At 34.2% G+C, this 21,621-nt stretch overlaps 1 protein-coding gene across 11 annotated transcripts in view, besides 2 other annotated features; it reads left to right on the forward strand.

Annotated features, from left to right (window-relative positions):
* CNTN5 (contactin 5) overlaps positions 1-21,621 on the forward strand; it is a 1,337,937-nt gene that overhangs the window by 281,871 nt on the left and 1,034,445 nt on the right. For 2 of the 11 annotated variants that reach the window (XM_017017926.2, XM_017017927.2), the window contains exon 2: positions 10,013-10,108. The exons of the other annotated variants lie outside the window; for them this stretch is intronic. The gene's annotated coding sequence lies outside the window, so the exon portion shown is untranslated. The remainder of the gene's footprint in view (positions 1-10,012; positions 10,109-21,621) is intronic. 11 annotated transcript variants of the gene reach the window in all.
* Positions 11,294-11,463: an enhancer, noted in NCBI's record as "experimental_22201 CRE fragment used in MPRA reporter constructs". NCBI's record gives its function as "activates a minimal promoter by MPRAs in K562 erythroleukemia cells, with activity observed for both the introgressed and non-introgressed 11:99184929 variant alleles {active_cell/tissue: K562}" and the evidence as "EXISTENCE:reporter gene assay evidence [ECO:0000049][PMID:34662402]".
* Positions 19,869-20,038: an enhancer, noted in NCBI's record as "experimental_22214 CRE fragment used in MPRA reporter constructs". NCBI's record gives its function as "activates a minimal promoter by MPRAs in K562 erythroleukemia cells, with activity observed for the introgressed 11:99193504 variant allele {active_cell/tissue: K562}" and the evidence as "EXISTENCE:reporter gene assay evidence [ECO:0000049][PMID:34662402]".

A 21,621-nucleotide genomic window follows, 5' to 3' on the forward strand; every position in this document is an offset into this window, starting at 1 on the left:
AATGAGAAATATTGAAAAGGTTATCTTTGGTGTTTAGAAGTTTCTCAAAATGGAATGGAACACTAGACTTCACTAATATTATTTAATATTAAGTAAATATTAATATTTAATATAGCTTATACATATATTAGTTATACTTGAAGAAACAGGTATACAACATTGCATGTACATATACCTGCAATCTATAAATATTTTTCAGGAGATTTCATAGCTCTTAGGAGATAAAACACACAAAATTATATAAATAACTAGTCATTATTCATGTTTTTGCAGTGACATGAACCATAAAGTTTTATGCATCCAGTGCATGTGTATTTATATATATTTATTCACTAGAATCCAATTGACCTTGTATTACAGCCCATATGCATTAAGATGCTTATCGATTTTAGAAGACAGTTAATTTCTAAATGTTAGGAAAATGTTATTATACTATATGCATATGTTGAAATATCTGGTATGCTCATAATTTTTGTAAGCGCTTAACTCACTATTTAAAAAATGTTCTGAACAGATAGTGTTACAATATAAAATACTAAACTTAGAACACATGATTTTAAATAGTAGATGACTGTACAATTATTAATTAGTATTACAGATTTGAGACACATTTATCTTCAAACCAATTTAATGCAAATTAGAGCAAATGATTACATGGCAGCATAATTATATCTAGCTTGTGACCTACCAAAGATAGGAAATGGCACACGAGATTAAAACTGGAGGAAAGAAATAGAAAATCTTGACCCAAACTAATATCTCTGTAGTTCAATTACATGCTACTAAACACTGGCTGTACCCTCTGCTTTCTTTAGCTGAAAACACCAGTGCTGTGTTCCCTCCAGTGATCTGTATTCAAGTACTTGAGAATTTCTCATCAGTACTAGTGATTCTCACTCTGGGGGTGAGCCACATTTTCACATTTTCTTTGGTGATTGCATAAGAATGCCTATGGTTGATATTTAAAGTTCTAAAAAGTTAACAGGGCTGTCAGTACTTATGTTGAGGACATCACCTCATTCCCACCTGCATAATTTCTTCTTTGAAGATTATATTAATCCTTTAGTAACACCATAGTGTCTAATAAGCAACATATTTGTGGAGGCCTAAAAAATGGTTTGAATAATCTCCTCAGCATGGCCTTCATCTGGGGGTGGTCCTTCAGAAGTTTCTTCCATGTTAATGTCTGTCTCAACACCAAGTCCTTTGTCTTCATGTACCTTGTTGTTGGGAAGTCACGACACCTAAAATGATTTCAAGCTAAATGACAGTTTTTCTTGATCTGGGAGAATAAATGACGAGAGCAAAGCTAAGCCTGAGAAATTTGTGAAATATATTATGTTTGTCTTTGAAGTGCCCTAACGTTCTTCACACAGGACCTCTCTCATTGTTCCTGCCTGGTAATCTAATGCCCCCACCAAACACTATAAATGGACTGATCTTTCCAAACCTACTTTACCTTAAACAGTCTCATATTACAGAGTTACTTCTCATCTCCTATAGATCCTTCCATCAAAAAAATATATATTTCCTTAGTACACTTTGTGTAAGGAAAATAATCTGATTAAAATCATTCACATATAAATCAATTTGTCTTAGTACTCCATTTGACGGGACAAAGAAGTTGACATTTCTTTAAGTGAATGAATCAGGTCTAATACCAAACTCCTTGCAAAAATGTTCTCCCTCCTCTGTATTCTGGAGAGAATCTAAGAGTTATTCTGGTAATAATTCAAATTTTCAAGGTATTGTTTACAAATCTGGATGCAGTTCACTCACAATAAAATTTTTAAACTCACACTCACTACCTTGGGTTTGAAAATGGCTTAACCACCATCATCACAGAAATGCTTTGAAATACGTTTCAGTGTTGTGCTTTTAGATGGTAAATTCCTTGATGTCCAGTGAGATTAAACAAATTGTTTGCCGCAATTCTTACTGTGAAACAATCAATAACTTCACTCCTGAAGTATGGTCATCTCTATTGTGAGGTTCACAAGGCCTTTGCCCACAGAAAGAATTGAGAAATCAATTTTGACTCCCTACGAGTTGTGACTGTGTCTCTACTTGACTAAATAAATAAGTAGATCAAGTGGAAAAGAAAGAGGATGTCATGCTCAGCAAAGGTTACTAATAGATATATCTGTTAGCCCACAGATCTGGGGTAATGATATTTTAGATATTACTTGACTTTCCCATGCCTATCCAGTAACCCTTAAGAATACCCTCTTTACAGAACAATGTCAAAGTGGTTGATTTAGAAGAAATTTCCAACCATAAGCATTCCAGAATGAGGGAAGTACATCACTCTAGGAGCAAGCAAACTGTGTTACCCTCAGACAAAAGCAAAATAAAACACAGCAATTAGAACACTGCCTTAATAAGGGCTTTGTCTCTCTGAATGAATTATGAGATAAAAAAGAATACATGAATAAATCACTCAGTAAAGTGTAAAGTGTCATGGGAAAAATAGGTACTCTATTCCTAGTATATTCTAACAGAAGAGATGCTTGTTAACATCTGTTTGAGTTTCACAAACAGCAAAAGCTGGCAATCTGTAAAGTTTTAATTAAATAAAGCAAAAAGAATTTGTCACTTGGTAAAGTTTCTGGGAAATTGATGCTTAAAATGTATCAAAATAAGGAATGAAATTTCTAGGTCAGTTTTTTCTTTGATGTGATATATTAAAAATGTCCTACCTTTAGGCTTTTTATATACGGTCTTTCAGATAACTGCAAAAAAACAATTTTTCTCTGTAAAATAAATGGGCAATTTAACAATCCACAGCAATGTTAGTGCTAGTCAGAATTGCCATTTTAGCATTTATATAATAAGAAGAAAAGTGTGCAGCTCTGTTTTTTGTTTGAGAGTTTTATCTTGGCCAGGTGTGGTGGCTCACACCTGTAATCCCAACACTTTGGGAGGCTGAGGCAGGTGGATCACCTGAGGTCGGGAGTTCGGGACCAGCCTGACAAACAAGGTGAAACCCCATCTCTACTAAAAATACAAAAATTAGCTGGGCATGTTGGGAGGCACCTGTAGTCCCAGCTACTCGGGAGGCTGAGACAGGAGAATTGCTTGAGCCCAGGAGGTGGAGGTTGCAGGGAGCCGAGATCTCGTCTCTGCACTCTAGCCTGGGTGACACAGTGAAACTCCGCCTCAAAAAAAAAAGAAAAAAAATAGTTTTATCTTGAAAGATGTCTAGAAGAACTATGAGAAAGATACATTGAAGAACTAAAATTTCATACAATTTCTTGAAATGTTGAAATTTTATCCAAAGCTACCAAATTTTTCAGGAAACTATGTAACTTAAGTAATATAGTGGAGAGCTGTCCTTTAGGACTTTAAGATAAGCAAAATGATATTAAGCTTTGTAACACAGTAGAAGAACTGGATCCAAGTGTCAGACAATTGGTTTAAAATCCAAGGTGTGACATTTATTATCTCTGGACATTGGGGAATTTACTTATCAAATAGGAGCTTCATTTTTCTCATTTGTAGAATAATACTTATCTTTTAGGGTTATTGTGCATTCACACAAAAAAATGAGATAGTGGACAAAAAAAGTTGTAATTATGTAAGGCGTATAGACAAGGTAAATAAAAGGTAAATATGAGATATGTAAATGAGGTAAAGAAAATAAAATACCTACCATAGTGCCCAATAACTTCAATTAGCTCACACTGTAGATATTTCCAATATAGATTATATATTGTTTCAGAGTTTGAATTGTTAATATGAATTTCTCTAACTTTTAGATATAAATTAAACAAAAATCCTTAATCTCTTTTTTAACTAAAAAAATTCAGGAGGCTGAGGCAGGAGAATGGCGTGAACCCGGGAGGTGGAGCTTGCAGTGAGCCAAGATCGTGCCACTGCACTCCAGCCTGGGCGACAGAGCAAGACTCCGTCTCAAAAATAATGATGATAATAATAATAATAATAATAATAATAATAATAATAATTTATTGTGATAATATACACATAACATAAAATTAACCATGTTAATCATTTTTAAGTATTCTGTTCAATAGTGCTAAGTACAACATATTAAACTTCTAAAAGTATTAAGAAGTCATAAACTCTCTTTTCTGATTGTTGTAAATTTATTTGTATTAAGGCAAAACATCTTCCTGAGAACAACTTCAGTTTCCCATTCTCCACTGGTGTGACCTATCATTCCTACATTCTATTAGCATTCAAATTAGAAGTGAAAATGAGATAATAAGTATACAGATTCGTTTTGATCCCTAATGAAATATGAAAAGAATTAACATGAATTGTTGTATGGTCTTTCCCTGAGTCTTAGAATAGTATTTAAATATTTTCCTAGTGCCTCATATGGCATACAAGAAAATCAAGGCTAATGTTCAGTGATCACTGTAACAAATAATTATCCAGCACTAGAACTAAGGATTAATTCGTTCAAGTTAAATATTCTTTCTAAAACTTCAAGTTGTCTCACAGTATTTTTTTTTCTTTTCATGGTGCTTTTCTTTCTATTCGTTGGTAACAATGAGATGACTTTCTAGTGTTTTTGTTCTTGTTGTGTTTTGTTTTGTTTTTAGTAAGACAAGATGACACTTGTTATTTAGTTCACCTGGTGAACAGTCTAAAGAAATCTATTCAAAAAATGCATATTTTCTCCTGAAAACATTCAGCTTTATCTAACTATAATATCTTGGATAATTATATTATACTTCTGTCGTTTATCACAGATTCATCTGCCTATACTGAAATTAATGTAACAGTCTTCTGTTTGTTGAATCAGAGCTCTAATATCATGATTCAATCTGTGAGCTGCTCCCCATTTGAATCAATAAAAGGCTGAGAGGTCTTGACAAGCTATATTTTTTCTAATATTGATCTTGATGACCAAGCTGGTGCCCTTGAGTCTAACCATTGATTTTAAATGGGAGGCCTGTCAAGTTGGAGGCCAATTTTTTGCTATTAAACAGATCGGGTCTTGTAATTAAAGAAAATGTCAGGCTGTCATATTTTACAAGAGGGCCATGGGAATATTTTCACGCAGTTTTCAAGCAAATTAGAAAGTATGCAGACCTGCTGGAGCCAAACACATACACCCAAACCAGCATAGGCTTACACAGAAACTAAATCAATGTTCAAATAGTATGTGATTCATTGGCTTTCTATTTTCCCAAGACTCAATGATTTAAGGAATAATTTATGATTCCTGGCTCTAATAACATGCACTGCTGCATCAACTTAAAATGCATCAAACTCTTCTGAAAGAAAGTAACATTCAAATGAAAAGCTAATTTACTGTCAGGATAATGGAGAACATCCAATCCAGTCTCTGCAGCTTTTGCTTCCTGTTTCTTTCTAGTACTACTGGAAACCATAACTTCTTACTCCTCTTTTTATGATACATTTCCTTTATTCTTCCATCAGTTCAAGAAATATTTACAGAAAAGCAACAAATAAAGAGCTGTTGAAAGATCACATTAGTGTAGAAGAAACAGACCAGTAAGCAAAACAACATTATATTTGTTGTAATATAGGTATAGTACAAGTGCCTTCAAAAGCTAAGAAGTGAAGGGCTAACTTTGCTATGGATGTAGTACCATATTGAGCAGAGCTTGGGACTACTGTATGAGAAATTGAGAGCCTGAAATTTTTATATTGGAATGTGATAAGGACTCACATAAGTTTGAGAATTGACTTCTGAGGCTAGGGATACTATAAAATTGAACATAAAATATAGAACTTTCAGAACTGGAAAAGAAAATATTAAAATACCAAGAGAAAACATACTAAGAACACAAATTAATAATTCTCCCAAAAGGAAATATGAATTACTATAAGCTTTCAGGAAAATATTCAACCGTTATTTCTCCAAATATTGATTTTGTCCAATAAATATTGTCCTAACATTGTTTCAATAATGTCCCAGTCAATATCTCTTTTATTATTCTGTAATTTCTGTTACACTTATGTTAGTACTTCTGCCCATGTGACATGATCTAACTTATGCTCTGTTCCTCTCATTCTTATTTTTTCCTCCCAGCTTCAGTTTGCATATTTTTATTGACTTGTCTTCAAATGTATTGATATCATCTTTGACTGTGTTGAATCTGCTTTTAAGCCCATCCAATGACTTACTAATTCCTAATACTGTATTTTATTCCTTATACAAAATATACATTTGATTTTGTATATATTGTATTCTCTGTAAAAATATTTCATCATCTACATATTTTCTATAGTTTTTCTGTTTCTTTAATATGCTAGTCATAGTTATTTTGAAATTATTTTCTGCTAACTACAACATCAGGAGTTTTTATAGGCCTGCATGTTAATAATCTTATCACTTTTTATTAATATCAGTCACTTTTTCTTTTTAAATATCTAGAGTGTTGGGTGGTTTTGTTTTTGCTATTTCTTTTTTTTTTTTTTGTATTCTGGAGGTTACAAGTGATACTTATAAACTATTGAAATTCTGAATCATGGATCCTTCCTTAAAAAAATGTTTCACTTTGTTCTGGTAGGCACCTTGATGCTGAAGAGTCCCACTGTTAGCTTTGTTAAGATAGTCCTGTATTAGTTTGGAAAGCACAGCGTATCCGCTAAAATCTTTCCATTCTGGATGAACCAGAAAAATGATTTCCCTCCCAACAACAAAAGACTCTTGATTCTTCACTTGCTTTCTGCCTCCCAGCAGCTGCTGCCTTGTGAACTTCCATAGTCTTTCTCTGTGCTTTTGCAGTCCAGAAATTGTCCAAGGATCTAAGAAATATTTTCAACAAATAGATGGGATGCTTATCCACATTCCGTCTTTGATAGCAGCTCCAACTTCCACTTATCAATACCACTATTCCATGTTTGCTATCTAAATACCTACAGTGAAGCCCAGAATAATATCCCAAGACTCATTTTATGCATCTCAACTCCAAAATTCCCTACGATGGTTGCCCAATGACAGCCGTCAGTTGTTTTATATGATAATATTAATCAAACAATTGTTTTATTAAGTTTTTTTTAAAAATTTAACTATTAATATACATTAATCTCAAAGTTATTGTACTGCGTGAAAGGCAAACAAAAGAGATTATAGAATATAGCTCGATTGTATAAAATGATGGAAAATAAAAAGGAGTCCATAGTGCAGAACACAGATCAGCAGCTAAAATTTTCATTTATATTATATGACTTTATATGGTGATAACTTTGGAGGGAAAGATTCCAAAGAGATATGAGGACACTTTTTACAGTGTTGACTGAGATGATTGTTTCATGGTGTACAGGTATAATTAAATGCAAAATTATACAATTCAAATATGTGCAATTTAGTGTATGCCAATTTTGCCTCAAAAGTTGTGAATACGCACGCATAAGTATCTGCACATATTTATATCTACAGAAAGACACATACAATGCTGATTAATAATTTATAAGGAAATAATATAGTAATTTTAAAGAAATTTGGAAATATGCATCAAATAGTGAAAATTTTTCAACTTCTATGAAATCCAACTCCAAGGAAATGTTATGAACTATAAACAAATATGTTTTCAGAAAGACATTTATAATAGTATTATTTAAAATCTTGAAAAACTTGATGCGTGATAAATTATCAATAAAACACTCTTAAATATTGACATAGTCACATAGTGAATTATGGTTTAATTATTACGTTGGTAAAATGTTTATAATACAATTTACCTTTTTGCCCTTCTTTACCCTTTTATTTGTTTTTAGGCACATTATTACATTGAAACACATCTATATACACATTTCAATGAGTTTTGAAAAATAAATACGCCTATAAGCCACTATCCCAATCAAAACATAGAATATTTCTGTCAATTGAGAAGTATTTTTGTGATACTTTTATTCAATACACACTATAAACATGTAGCCATTTCCTGATTTATAGCAACAATGATGGGTTTGGCATGTTTCTTAAATTAATATAAATGAAATAATAGACTATATACTATTATGAATTGCCTATTTATATGAAAATATCACAATTCATATTTGGTGACTCTCTATTGGTTGAATTATGGCAAATATTTTTCTGTGTCTATTAAGATGAGCATATACCTTTTTCCTCCTTTATTATCTTACTGTAATGAATTAGGTTGATTATTTATTATTTTTTTTTTTGAGACGGAGTCTCGCTTTGTCACCCATGCCGGAATGCGGTGGTGCTGTCTTGGCTCACTGCAACCTCTGCCTCCCAAGTTCAAGCAATTCTCCTGCCTCAGCCTGAGCAGCTGGGACTACAGGTGCACGATACCACGCCCGGATAATTTTTGTATTTTTAGTAGAGACTGGGTTTCACCATATTGGCCAGGCTGGTGTCGATCTCCTGACCTTGTGATCCGCCCGCCTCGGCCTCTCAAAGTGCTGAGATTACAGGCATGAGCCACCGCACCCAGCCTGATTAGTTTTTAAGTAGGAACACCATCTGGTATTCTTTCCCACTGGGTCATGATGTATTTTTACCTACATTATCTGATTTGATTTGCTAAATTTCTGTCAAATACTTTAATGTCCATATATAAGGGGTTATTGTTCTACAATTTGCTTTTTTTTAAGAATACCATTGTCATATTTGGGCTTCAGAGTTGTGTTGACCTTATCAAATGAGTTGAGGAGTGACAATTTAGGACAATTTCCAGAGATTTCATTTTTGTTTAATATTTTTCACCAGTTGTGGTTCTTTCACTAGGGAAGGGGTTCTGAAACCTCATCACAATGCTCTCCTAAAATTTGTCCCTAGAGTCAAAGAGTGCTCCAGTGTTATTAAACCAAATGCTCTTACTTTGACCTTTGCCAAAGGTATAAATAATACTTAATGTCAAATTTATTTTCAAGTGGTTCTTGAAATAAGCCTTTTTAAAAAGTCGAACTCTTTAAATCAATAGTGTTAGTATTTTAAGAAAATTGTATCTTTTATTTTATGCTAGTTTGTTGTAGTATTAAAACTGACCATATTATTAATTGTGTATATAATATTCTAGCACCTATAGCTCTTTGTCCTCAAAGCCCCAGAAGATGATTAAGAAATATTTTCTTTCAGTTGTTTCTCTTTCCCTAAAAATTACTTTTAGGCCTGTTTACTATCTACAGGTATAACTTGCCAAATTCTTTGCAGACTTTTATACCTCCTAAGCTACTACCTCTGAAGAAATCACCTTGGTTGGCTGTTTTGTTGACTGCTACTGCTGGTTAGCCAGGAGATAAATTTCAAGTGGCCACAAATTCATTCTTTGATTGTGACTGGGTTGCATCACGTGATATGAAATATCAGAAATGTAGTACAGAAAATGTGTTCTGATAAAACATGAATATATATTTTGCATCAATCCAACAACAAAGCAAAACAAAAAATAAATTAAATAATACATAAACAATTTTATCCATATCATTTGCCTCCTCAAATATTGCAGTGGAGTGGCAGTGTTTGAGAGGGAAATACATATAATATGAAACACCGGGGTTAAAGACAACATATGTTCCTCTAAAAAATTATCTTGTCACTTACTTGCTTTTTGAATAGAGGCAAATTATATATCCTGTATGAGCCTTCGATTCTTTATGTGTTAAAAAAATAATGCTGACTTCTTTATGGGATTGTTGTAAATATTCAATAATAGTGTTTTACACAATGCATGACCTGCAAGAAATACAATTTTTTCTCCGAATGGTAGTTAATTGTTTCTGCTATAATATCCTTCCTTTTCATTCAGCAGAATGCATTATAATATAGTCAGACAGTTAAGAAAATTGGTTCTATTCAGTCTCTCTATGCCAAATTGTATGGTATTGACAAATTATGTAGCCTTTCTATATCTCTGTTCTGCATAGGATTGCTGTAAGACAATTCAGATAGTGTGTGTGAAATGCTTAGAACATTCTGCAACATTTTAGTAAGTATTCAATAAATATTACCCATTGTTATTATATTCCAAAAAATCCTACATGATAAATGAGAAGAAAAAAGGATTTAAGAGAAATTAAGTGATTTTTTTTTTTTCCCCAGGAGCCTCAGCAAATAAATGGCCTAAACAATTGGAAGCCTAGGGATGTAATTGCTGGTCTTCTATTAAAAAGTGAAGGAGACAAGATTTTAATGAAGGTACTCATTCTATTCATAGGCTGGACAAAAATAGTGGTTTTAATAGAACGAGCTAATAAGTAAGAGATAAAAGTAGAAAACCCAGAGCTACCTGGAATTACACTACACTCAATTATACTCGATCGTATATAGACAGATTAGCCTTCCTCTCAGGTGACATCTCACGCAATCCAAGATTTGAAGTTTTTTTTTTTTTTCTATCACTGCTATTTTCTCTAGGATAATATATTCAATGAATAGAAATCAAATAGAAATCAAATCGGCTTTAACAGTTATGATGTAAGATTACTCCAGTAAAATAACTTCACAGATGTACGTCATGATTCAGGAGTAAAAACAAATTATCTTGAAATATGTAAATCATTGTGACCCATTTTCAGCTTGAATTATTTGTGCTTTCACACAGATTTTCACTTCTTTTGCTTATAAAAGTAATGTTATTAATACATTTTTATTTGAATTTTTAATTTTAAGAACAAATGCCCATCCACTAACTTATTCTAGACTTAAGACTTTTTTTACAGACAGCTGAAAATTTGCTAAGAACATACTAACATTGAAACAGCAGGGAAATTCTCACATAGGGAAAGAGAGGAGAAAATTATTTACTTATGGTTTATGGGGATCCTATCTGCTCCAGTGAATTTAATTTACCACAGGAAAGATGCTCTGTATACGAAATAAAATATACTTCTTTATCTCAAAGTGTACATTTCAAGGAATATTTTGTCTCCTTTACAAGAAGGATTAATTCACATAAAATTAATATTTAGTAATAATTATTTCATGATTAAAATTCTATTTAACAAACTCCACTTAAACTGTGTCTATAATAATCAAAACAACTGAACAGCAAATATTTATTCTAATGATTTGCAGCTGCAATAGTATATATTGTGCTTGCAAAAACTTTGCCATCAGTTTATATTGCTTCATCCTTAGTCGTATCGTAGACTTTCTTGACCCAATAAGGAATTTACTGATAAATGACATTCTAGGACAAGCATATCCTAGGCTACAAATGAAGGAGAATGGTGAAGACTAGCTGCCTCTAAGGTATCTGGGACATAAGTCAGAAAGTTCAAACCTGAGATTTAAACTCAAATTAGCCCAAAGGGGGTTGGTAAAAGGTGACATGTGAAGCTGTTTAGACGTGTATAAACAAATTTCAATATCCCAATAGTCAACAAATATTAATTAATATAATAATGACAGTTTTGAGGGTATATATAGCTTCTGGGTGGCATAACATAATATATAAAAAATTATGCCATGTAAATTTGCTGAACAATAATTAATACATTGCTAGCCCAAGTAGGATGTGCATACTGGTGTGTTATAAAATATTTTAAGGAACTGAAATATTTTAGCTATCCATATCTCACAACTATACAGATGCAGTTTGATAGAAAAAGTATGTTCTATTAGTCTACTACATGAAGCATTCTGAAGTGCCATTTCATTTATTCTATGGGTGTGCTTATGCTGTACCATGTACACTTGGACATAGAGCATCTCATTCCAAATAACTACTTTCACTTGTTCGGTAGTGACTATGTAAAGGCTAGTTTTATTTTCATCATTAAATAGTGAGAGATTTTACTGTCTAGACAAAGGAGAGAGAAAAGGCATCTTTCTATGGAGCAGGTGAAACCACCGGATTGAAAGGAAAAATGCAAGCAGTTGATTGTCACACAGCCAGAGGAATGGGTTAATACAATAACTCCTATCCCTACTACTGCTATTAAGTAACAGTGAGTGAGAGAATAGGGTAGGGAAAGGAGAAAGGGAGAGGGGAATAAGGAAAGGAAGAGAGGGGAGGAGAAAGAAGAAGAGGATGGGGAGGAGGTGCACATGTGTAATTAAAATATCCATAACACTTTAAGATGGATGCTCTAGTAGGATGTGAAAAAGATATAGTGGGAAGATAAAGAAGAAAGTAGCTTCAGAGAAGAGAATATTTGTTGTATATAATAAACAGTGGGATATTGTAAAAATTGCATATTCTTATTCAGTAGCTCTGTGGGTGGGGGGACGGGGTGTTGACATTCTGTGTTTTTAACTAACAAGCTCCTAGGTAATGCTGATGTTGCTGTTCTTCAGACCAAACTTTAAGTAGCAATTAAAGTAATTAAGTAATTAAGTAATTAAGGGTAGAGAAGACATTGATATTTATTCTAGGCAGAGTGATGAATACCCTCTAGTAGTCATGGAAGAATAAAAGCATTTGGTCTGGCTAGTAGTTCACTGAGCATAAATAGTTCACTGAGCATAAGTAGTTCACTGAACTATCAGATAATGATTTAGAAAAAAAAAGTATTACAAATGACCTCAGGCTAAACATTCTGAACATTATTTTGTGGGCAAAGGGAAGCCTACAAATGCTTCTGTTCCTAAGTGTGCCACTGTAGGCTTGTTGGTAAGGAAACCATAAACATGTTATAGTTTAAAGGGCAAGATGGAATTAGAGAAAGAGGAAGAGGAAGAACTGTTAGCAGACTTCAGCCATTGCCAGAGTGAGGAAAGCACCAGGTTGAACTTTGGAGATGGAAAAGAAAATTCCAGATTTGGCACCTACTTCTGAGTCATCAACAGAACATAGTCAATTATTAGATGGAAATAGTTGGGATAAAAAAATAAGTAATTGACAAGGAACATTACTTTATATTTTGTGTTGTTTTATTTCGCTTTAGCCAAGAATGCATAGGAAAAAATAGATAATATTAAAAAGGTAAAAATTATGGGATGGTATGAAAGCATATAGAAAGTCTATATGGGTATATTGAATAGACAAAGTTTTAGAATGTAAATCGCGGAGTGGGCCATGGATATTGAAAATTAGAAGGTGACAGGGATTACACAGGGATTGAATATATATTGCAAGCCAGTGATTTTTTTTCATAGAGTATTTCTTTTAATTAGAAAGCCACTGGTAACCTTAGCAAGAGTTGAATGATAGAAAGAAGAGACAATAGAATGACACAAATTATAGAGTCGATAGAATGACGCAAATTATAGAGAGGTAAATGGATTTGTGTGCCTCATGGGTATATGTGTATGCAAATATGGAAAGTGGCTGTGGGAAGTAAAGCCCCTGGTAGTTGTTCTTTAATTTGGATGATAAAGGTGGCATACTTTTTGTTTCTAGAGGAACCATTCCTGTTTTCTGATTATGAACGCGGGTAGCAGATGTCCTTGGAAAGAATGTCCACTAGATTTGCTCCAAGGCCAAGGGCATCATCCTGTAGATTCTGATAAAATAGTTAGTTAATTATCGTATCCAAGATGAAAGCTGACAACTACAAATCATAAGGCAATTGATGATGGCAGGAAGTTTGTCAACATTCAAATCCCTCGAGTCCCATCCCTCGAAAAAGACATATTCTTCCTACTCCTTAGCAGTGATAGCGTTGTACCAATATCAAATCACAGATTTTTAGAGGGAAATGGGTATAATAAAATTGCCTATACATTTTTATAGTAAATTCTAGAATTTCTTAAAATCTGAGAAATTATTTCAATGACAATTTTTTTCTACAGTATATCTAGGTAATGATCGCTGAGACTCATAGAGTGATGAAAATAAACATTTAGGTGTTGTATATCTCTCATATGTTTTAATAAGTTTTCAGGTGTATTTTATTTTCAGTAGACGACCCTTCGGTGGAGGATTGGGGAACAAATTTTAATTCAAGCCATTTTCTCCCAGGGCACACATGCTAATGTATTACAGAAAGCTGAACCATAATATTCTAAGCACTTCAGTTAGTCTTCACTTTTGAAATTACTCTTTTGAACTGAGTCAAAAAAAAAAAAAGAAAAAGACCCTTTCATTTCATTGAAGTGAAGCAAATCTCTCTGCTTTAATTAAGAGCAATCGGAGGAAATAGTGATAACAGAAGTCCAGCTCCGAGCCGTGTATAAAGAAATGATCGCGGGCTCTGGCTGCCAGCCAGGCTGCCAGGCTGTTTTTCATGGGTGTTACTCGACTGACAGTACCTTCCTGACATTTGTACCTCGACACCAGAAGTGCTAACAGCTGCGATGCCAGTGGTAGAAAAGCAAGGAAGATCTTTTTCAGCTTTAGTTGCTCTCAGATTCTCAGCACCCTAAGAGAATAAAGTCTGTTAAAACTGACTTCAGTTGGCTATGTCCTTTGCGAAGATTTTTGTGTTGGTGTCTGAAAAGCAGTTTTATTCCATGACATTGGGCTTAGGGGAGATTATTTTTTCAAGACAGAAGACACATGTGGTAAATGCGTGACAAATGGCAGTAACAAAGTTGGGCTGGGAGTTCATGGTTTTATGAAATGAAATATTTCAGCAACCAATTCCGTGCTCTGTTACTTGCTGCAGACAGCCCTTTTGACCCTACACTGAGGCAGCCAAAAAGGACTATAGGAGAAAATTTCTAGTTATCTTGAAGTTGGATGGTATTCTTAACTAATAGTGACAGATGTAGCAATATGACTTCTAGTGCTTGCTGCTAATGGCAGAGCTTCAAGCCATCAGGAAATGAGAAAGGTCAGAAGACAAGTGCACATATGTGAGAAACGAGTTCAGACGATAAAGGGTGAGATGTGGTTTTTGGAAAAGCTCATTTTGGGAACCTTTCCAGTCTGTCTTGGTGGTTTCAAGGTGATTCTTGGCACATAAGCGTATCCCTAACATTTTGACATACTCTAGAGAATCAAGGTCCTGAAAAGAATATAACACTGCTTAAATATCAAGGAGCCACGATGCACTGATAACTTGTTTCGTACATTTAATCTTCTTTATGATTTTAGCGTTGCTACTGCTTTGATCTTAAAAATAGGAAAAATGTTTAGCAAAACATAATAAATTTTCTAAAATTTAAAGGATATTTAAGAGCCCTTCTACAATAATTAACTTACTGTAAAAAAAAAGAAAACTTCTATAAATAGTTCAATTGCTAATGCTTTATAGCAGATGAGTTTTTTACAAAAGAGTTTGTATTTTTAATTTTATAACAACTGGGTTGTCTCCACATGCACTTTTCTGTCACCTCCATATTTCAGACAAATCTGGGCAGATTCTGGGTGGTGTGGTCCTAGACTGAAAACTCTGTTTCAAAATCCAAGTATAAAACTTTGTCTTTAATGACATTTCAAACGTTTCATATACACAATGAAAAGATTTTTAAACAGCATAAAAACCCATAAATGTAAGAGAAATATCTTCTTACATGTACATTATAAGTATTCTTATTGAGAGAAATAAGTGTTCTATTGATAACTTTAAGTAAATAAAGCCAAAAGGACAGAAGAAAGTCTATAATTAAGCACAATTCAATCATTGTGGCCATTTAATTCTGTTGTTTTCATGTATAATCTGAAGTCCAGAGAAGTTAAGGAAAGCATGTGATTTTATGCAGCTAATTAATGATTAGAATTCAGTATGCCAACTCCCAATCCTGGGGTTCTTTCTAGAACAACATCCCTGGACATGCTCAGAAAGCAAAAATGTCAGAATATTTTTCTTTCAGCACTAATGCTATGATTCATGTCAAAACAAAAACTTCAGCTGAAGAAATAAAGATAAATTGATTTAATGTGATGGCATCACATCATAGTAATTTCAAAAACTTTTGAGAATTATTTTTTTTTTTTGTAATTAACTCTCCAATCGGCAATGGCAGAGAGGAGCATCATCCAAAACATCTACAGGGAAGTCTGCATATTTTTTTCATTTCATTGCTAATGAGCCATTTTCACCTGGCTCCTGCTCCCACTACTCCCCCATGAAGAACCAGCTGTCAGTTTCCACAGCTGAGCAGGTTTGGTACCAGACAGGTGGCAGCAGGGTGGGGAAGAAATTGTGTCAGTGGGATGTAGTTAATCTGGAATTATGGTGATCCACCTGGTATCATTAAACATTGACTCCATATCATGAATGGTTCACTACAAGACAATCAACACTTAAATTAAAAGTTAAAGTTTTAAATATCCTTGAAAAGACAAATATGAAGGTTTGGTATTAATTGAAAATCTGCAGTCTTATACACATTAGATCAACTAAGTCCATTTAGAGATGACAGAATTTTATATTCTGTTTATAGAAAAGGTGAATTGGACTGTGCTATTCCAGATTCTAACATTCACTCACTCTGTAAGCTTTTTATGCTATAGGCTCTGTGGGGGAAAAAGCAAAACAAAACAAAAAACTATCTTGACATCAGTAGCACTGGGTTGAAGCTTAAATGGGTTAATATATTCGGAAGGATTTTGTAAACTGATACTTAATATGTGTGTAAGTATGGAGTCTACTGTTATCATTGGTATTTACTTCATGATTATTTTTAACTCTCACAATAACCTAGAAAACGTCCTTAATGTGTCAAATGATATGGCCAACCACATGACTCAACTGATCTCCCTGGTCACAATGATAGTCGCCCATTGGTGTTTGATTCAGTTCGTATTTTTCTTCAGGTGGAAGTCACCTCCCCATAAAAGCCTTCTCTGAATGCTCAGTAATGGGCTGGATGCCCTTCCTGTGATTCTATAGCACCCGAGCTGACCCCTATTAGAGAACTTATCACACAGCATTGGAATTGGCTATTCACCAGTTTCATTCTCCCACTGGACCATAATGTTTATGCTCAGAGACCTTATGTTGTTCACTTTTTGAATTTCCAGTAACTGGTGTTGTGTATATCACATAATGGAGACTCAATAAAAATTATATACATTATTGACATCAATTAGTTTCATGTATACAAAGTACAAAGCACAGTATGTAAATTTTTTAAATTTATATAAATTTAAAAACCATATCTAGACATTTATTTGATTTGCAATTTGAACCACCATTCTGGCTTCATCATGAAGAAAACTTTGAAGTAGGCCGACAGTGAAATGCAGGGAGACCAATTCAATGGTGAATGCAGAAAAGATGCTCATTCAAACAAGAGTGGGAGTGGAAATGGAGAAGAAACAGACCTGAGATATATACAGAGGTCAAATAAACATGATTTGATAAATAAATTCATGGGTGAGGAAGAATGAGATGTCAGAAATGGCTTTAGCATGCCTGTAATCCCAGCATTATGGGAGGCAGAGGCTGGTGGATCACTTGACGTCAGGAGTTCGAGACCAGCCTGGCCAACATAGTGAAACACCGTCTCTACTGAAAATACAAAAATTAGCCAGCCATGGTGGCAGGCACCTGTAGTCCCAGCTACCCATGGTGGGGCTGAGGTGGGAGAATCGCTTGAACCCAGAGGCAGAGTTTGCAGTGAGCTGAGATTACACCACTGCACTCTAGCCTGGGCAACAGAGCAAGACTCCTTCTCAAATAAACAAATAAATAAATGGCTTTAGGATATATGGTTTATACAGCTAGGAAGATGATGAAAGTATTGACTGGGATTGAGAACAGTGGAAGACGAGATGATTATTGTTACCATTGCTGTTGGAAGGGACAATGAAAGGAAGCAGGCATAGTTCCTAGTGTCAGTTTTACACATGTAATTTTGTTGTGACTTTGAGGAATCCAAGGGAAAAAAGAGACATAAATTTGGAAGTTTTTTGTGTATAGGTGGCATATTGAAGCCATGGATTGCCTAGGAAGTGTTTAGGAATTAAAGAAAGCCAGAATCAAACACGGAGGAATTCAACACTTAAGAACCTTCTAAGGCACAGAAAAAGAAAAGTGAAATATTGAGAATGAAAGGTATATAACAATGGGAAAGGAAAAAGTATGATGTATAAAAAGGAGGGGAGTAAGTACAGATATCTTTTTTTATTCAATATAGTTGTACTGTTTAAGAATAAAATAGGGCAAATGTTGAAGGGTGATGTAAGGTTAAGACAGTGTGATGGCTAATTTTATGTGTCAACTTGCCTGGGCCATGGGCTCCCCAGACATTGGGTCAAACATTATTTTGGGTGTGTCTGTGAGTGTTTCTTGATGAGGTGAAAATTTCAGTCAGTTAACCGTGTAAAGTAGATGGCTCTCCCTAGTGAGAGTGGGCCCCATCCAATCAGTTCAAGTCCTGAATAGAACAGAAGGGTGACCCACCTGTGAGTAAGAGGGAATGTCTTCTGCCTGCCAGCTTTTGATCTGAGACATTGCTTGTTTTTTTGTTTTTCTTTTCTTCCTTCAGACTTTGAAACGTCAGCTTTTGCTGTGTTTTGATGCTGCCAGCCTTTGGACTGGAAGTACGTTTTTGGCTCTCCTAAACCTTCAGCTTGCCAATTGCACATCTTGGGACTTGTCAGCTCCCATAATCACATAAACTAATTCCAATTGCATACACACACACACACACACACACGTGTGCACATACAACACACAGACAGACATACACACACATACATCCTACTGGTTCTGTTTCTCTGGAGAACACTGACTAATACAGAAAGGAGATTTTATATTATATACATATATTTATATACATTATATATATATAACATATATATATTCAGATAGAGAGGACTTAAATGTATTCAATACTGTTTTTAACATTTTAATGTATTTAAATACTGTTAAAAATAATCCCATTCATTAGGCTTCTGGGTAATGTGGTATGTAATTAAACCAGTGTATCCTGTGATCATATGTCCACTGATGTACCTCCTTTGATAATAAGTATGGCCATCAGTTCTATGTAATGTTATCCAAGTTCTGTGTCAGTGGATCAAAGACTTGGTTACTTCTTGGAGAGTGCTGCTAGCTGAAGAGATGTGGGCAAGAAAGGGAAACCCACACCTAAGATATGCTTTGATTCTACTCAAAAGCTATTCCTTCCACCTTGATTGATTGATTGAGTAGAATCAATAATATCATATTGGTGAAGGGTAGTGGGTGATCTCAGTGTAGCGCTCAGTTGCTGGAAGGTTGAGATTTCTACAGAGGTAGTAGGTAGATCAGCTTTTGTTGAACGAGGATTCATGTTTTGGGCACCATGCATAACCTCCATCTCTGCCAGCGTGGCCACATTGTTAATGTGTCAGTGTGCTTATACTACAATGTGCTCATACTACAATGGCTGATGAAAGAGACTGGTTTTAGTTTGCCAAGCCATTCTGTGCACTGGTTTGTTTAGTGCCTCTTGCTTACCAAATTGTAGAGTGTCCATAAACTTGTATGTCTATTCCCCAGATCTCCTTGTCCCCAGTTGTATTAGTTTTCTAGGGCTTCCATAAAACAGAATACCGCAGACTGGTTGGCTTAAATGACAGAAAATTTTCTCATAATTCTGGAGGCTAGAAGTTCAATATGAAGGTTGCGCCAGACTTGGTCTCTTGTGAGGCCTTTCCCCCAGCTTGCAGTCGGCGGCCTTACTCCTGTCTTCACTTGATCACCACACTGCTTGCACATGTTTCTGGTGTCTACTTGTGTACCCAAATTTCGTCTTCTTATAAGAGCACCAATGATGTATCACTTAGTGTTGGGCAATACATTTAATAAGGTAATTTGTAGCAAGTTTCAGAAGTAGAAAGAACACAAAAAATTATCAGGAAAACTTTTTTAAAAATCTCATATCTAAACCAGGATTTTAACATGAATAGAAGCTCTTCAGGTGGACAGGGGTGGCAAGCGGTCATTTGAAGCATAGGGAACAGTGCTGAATACTGTCTTGAAGTTACTATGTTGTTGATAAAAATTAATTATCAATTTAAGGTTTAATTACAAGGTTTTATTTCATGTTAAGTTTAAATATTTGTTTTTCTGGTCAATAACACATTAAGAATAGAAAATTACAGGCAGAGTCTATTCAAGACAGCCACTCTAGGATAAGGGACAAATTTTTGTATCCCAGCCTAATAAAAGAGAGAAATGAGATAAACTCTAAAAAGAAGATACAGATACTGATGATGATTTGAAATAGAGGGAGTTATGATTGTAAAAAAGAAAATAAGAATATCAGGTGATTACATGGCTTTTACAATTTTAGGCTATTTTTCCATCTGTAAAGTAAAATTCATGTTAGATTAAAAAATCACAGCAAAACTATACAAGATAAATGTATGTTGACCTATGGTGTGTGAAGCAAGGTTGTGAAATAATAAGACAACTTACCTTCTTTTTCAGTAAGTCGCCTACGATTATTTATTTAGATTTGGTCTAGCTTTCAAAGAAATGGAGAGAAAAATATAGGTTGGCAAAGGTCATTCTTTTTCATAAAGTGTAACTTGAGGAATAACAACTAACATATGTAAAACTTTCAGTTTAGGAATAATTTTCTCATCTATTATTTCTTAAGATTTTTATTATAATTCCTTGAGCAGACATAGGATCTGACATCATTACCCCCAGAAATGCTAAATAAGTGTTTAAGATCTAAGCATAAGTATATGGTAGAAACTTAAAGAAGTCTGACTCTGACTGCAAATGAAGTAGTCTCGTCATCACAACATACTGTCTTAAAGACAAGCATGAGTTTATTCCAGAGACAAAATGGAAAAGTTTTGCTTCTAAGAAGCAAACTTGAAACTTGAGGAAGGAATTGGAAAATGACAACCATCACCACAACAATACAGTTCATTATAATTTTTTTCTTTTGCTATGTTAGTTCATAATGAAATGTGAAAATAATTAGTGATACTTCTTATTTGCTCAATATGTGCTAGACATGTTGGTAAGCTTTTTATGTGTATTATCTCATTTAATGTTCTCAGTATTTCCATATAGTAGGGAAAAATGATGCACTGTATAATTGCTAAGAAGTAATGGCAGTAAAAAGAACACAAAATTCTGACTTCCAAAAACATTCATCTTAATGACAATCCAAGATGAAAAAAACATAACTTGTCAAATCCTAAAATGAAGATGTGCTGTTTGCTTAAGTAACTATCATTCCGCCTAAGTTTGTAAACCTCAACAAAATTCCTGCCTTTTTTAGTTTTTAATTTTGTGCAAGAAGGCATAAAGCAGAAATGTAAAATTGTTACAATATTAAGAAAAGAATGAAGGGAGAAGAAAAAAGGAAGAGGGACAAAAGCGAGGAAAAGAGGGAAGGAGGAAGAAACAGAGGAAGAGACAGAGGGAGGAAGCAAGGAAGACAAAAAGGAATCTATAGTTCCTTCTGTTCACAATTTGTATACTACAATAATATCTATAATTTAGACTTGATATCAGAAATGCAAGCTGAGATTAAAGGAAATCTTAGGTCGACATATTTAAAATTGCTGATATTTCACTACTTTTGTTTAACAAAAATGTCAATTTCCTGAAGTTCCAAATAATATAAATAGAAGTCATAAAGGTCAATACCCTTTGGTAGTGACAACTACAAGCAACTGAAATACTTTTTATCAATCTGATCATGAAATATGTACCTTAGGTTTCCCTGGACTCTTGGTAGTATTTTAACATGGAATCTTACTTGATGGCCTTCAATCACTCTGAGGTTATCAATCTCAAGTTCTAAAACTTATATTCCTTACCTTGATTATGTCAATAAGCATAAATGCTCTATAAACATTCTGGAAATATTATTAAAGAGAAAAACAGTAAAATATTTGTCCTCACTAAATTTTTAGTTTG

Source organism: Homo sapiens, chromosome 11, assembly GCF_000001405.40.
Source record: "Homo sapiens chromosome 11, GRCh38.p14 Primary Assembly".
Classification (NCBI taxonomy): domain Eukaryota; kingdom Metazoa; phylum Chordata; class Mammalia; order Primates; family Hominidae; genus Homo; species Homo sapiens.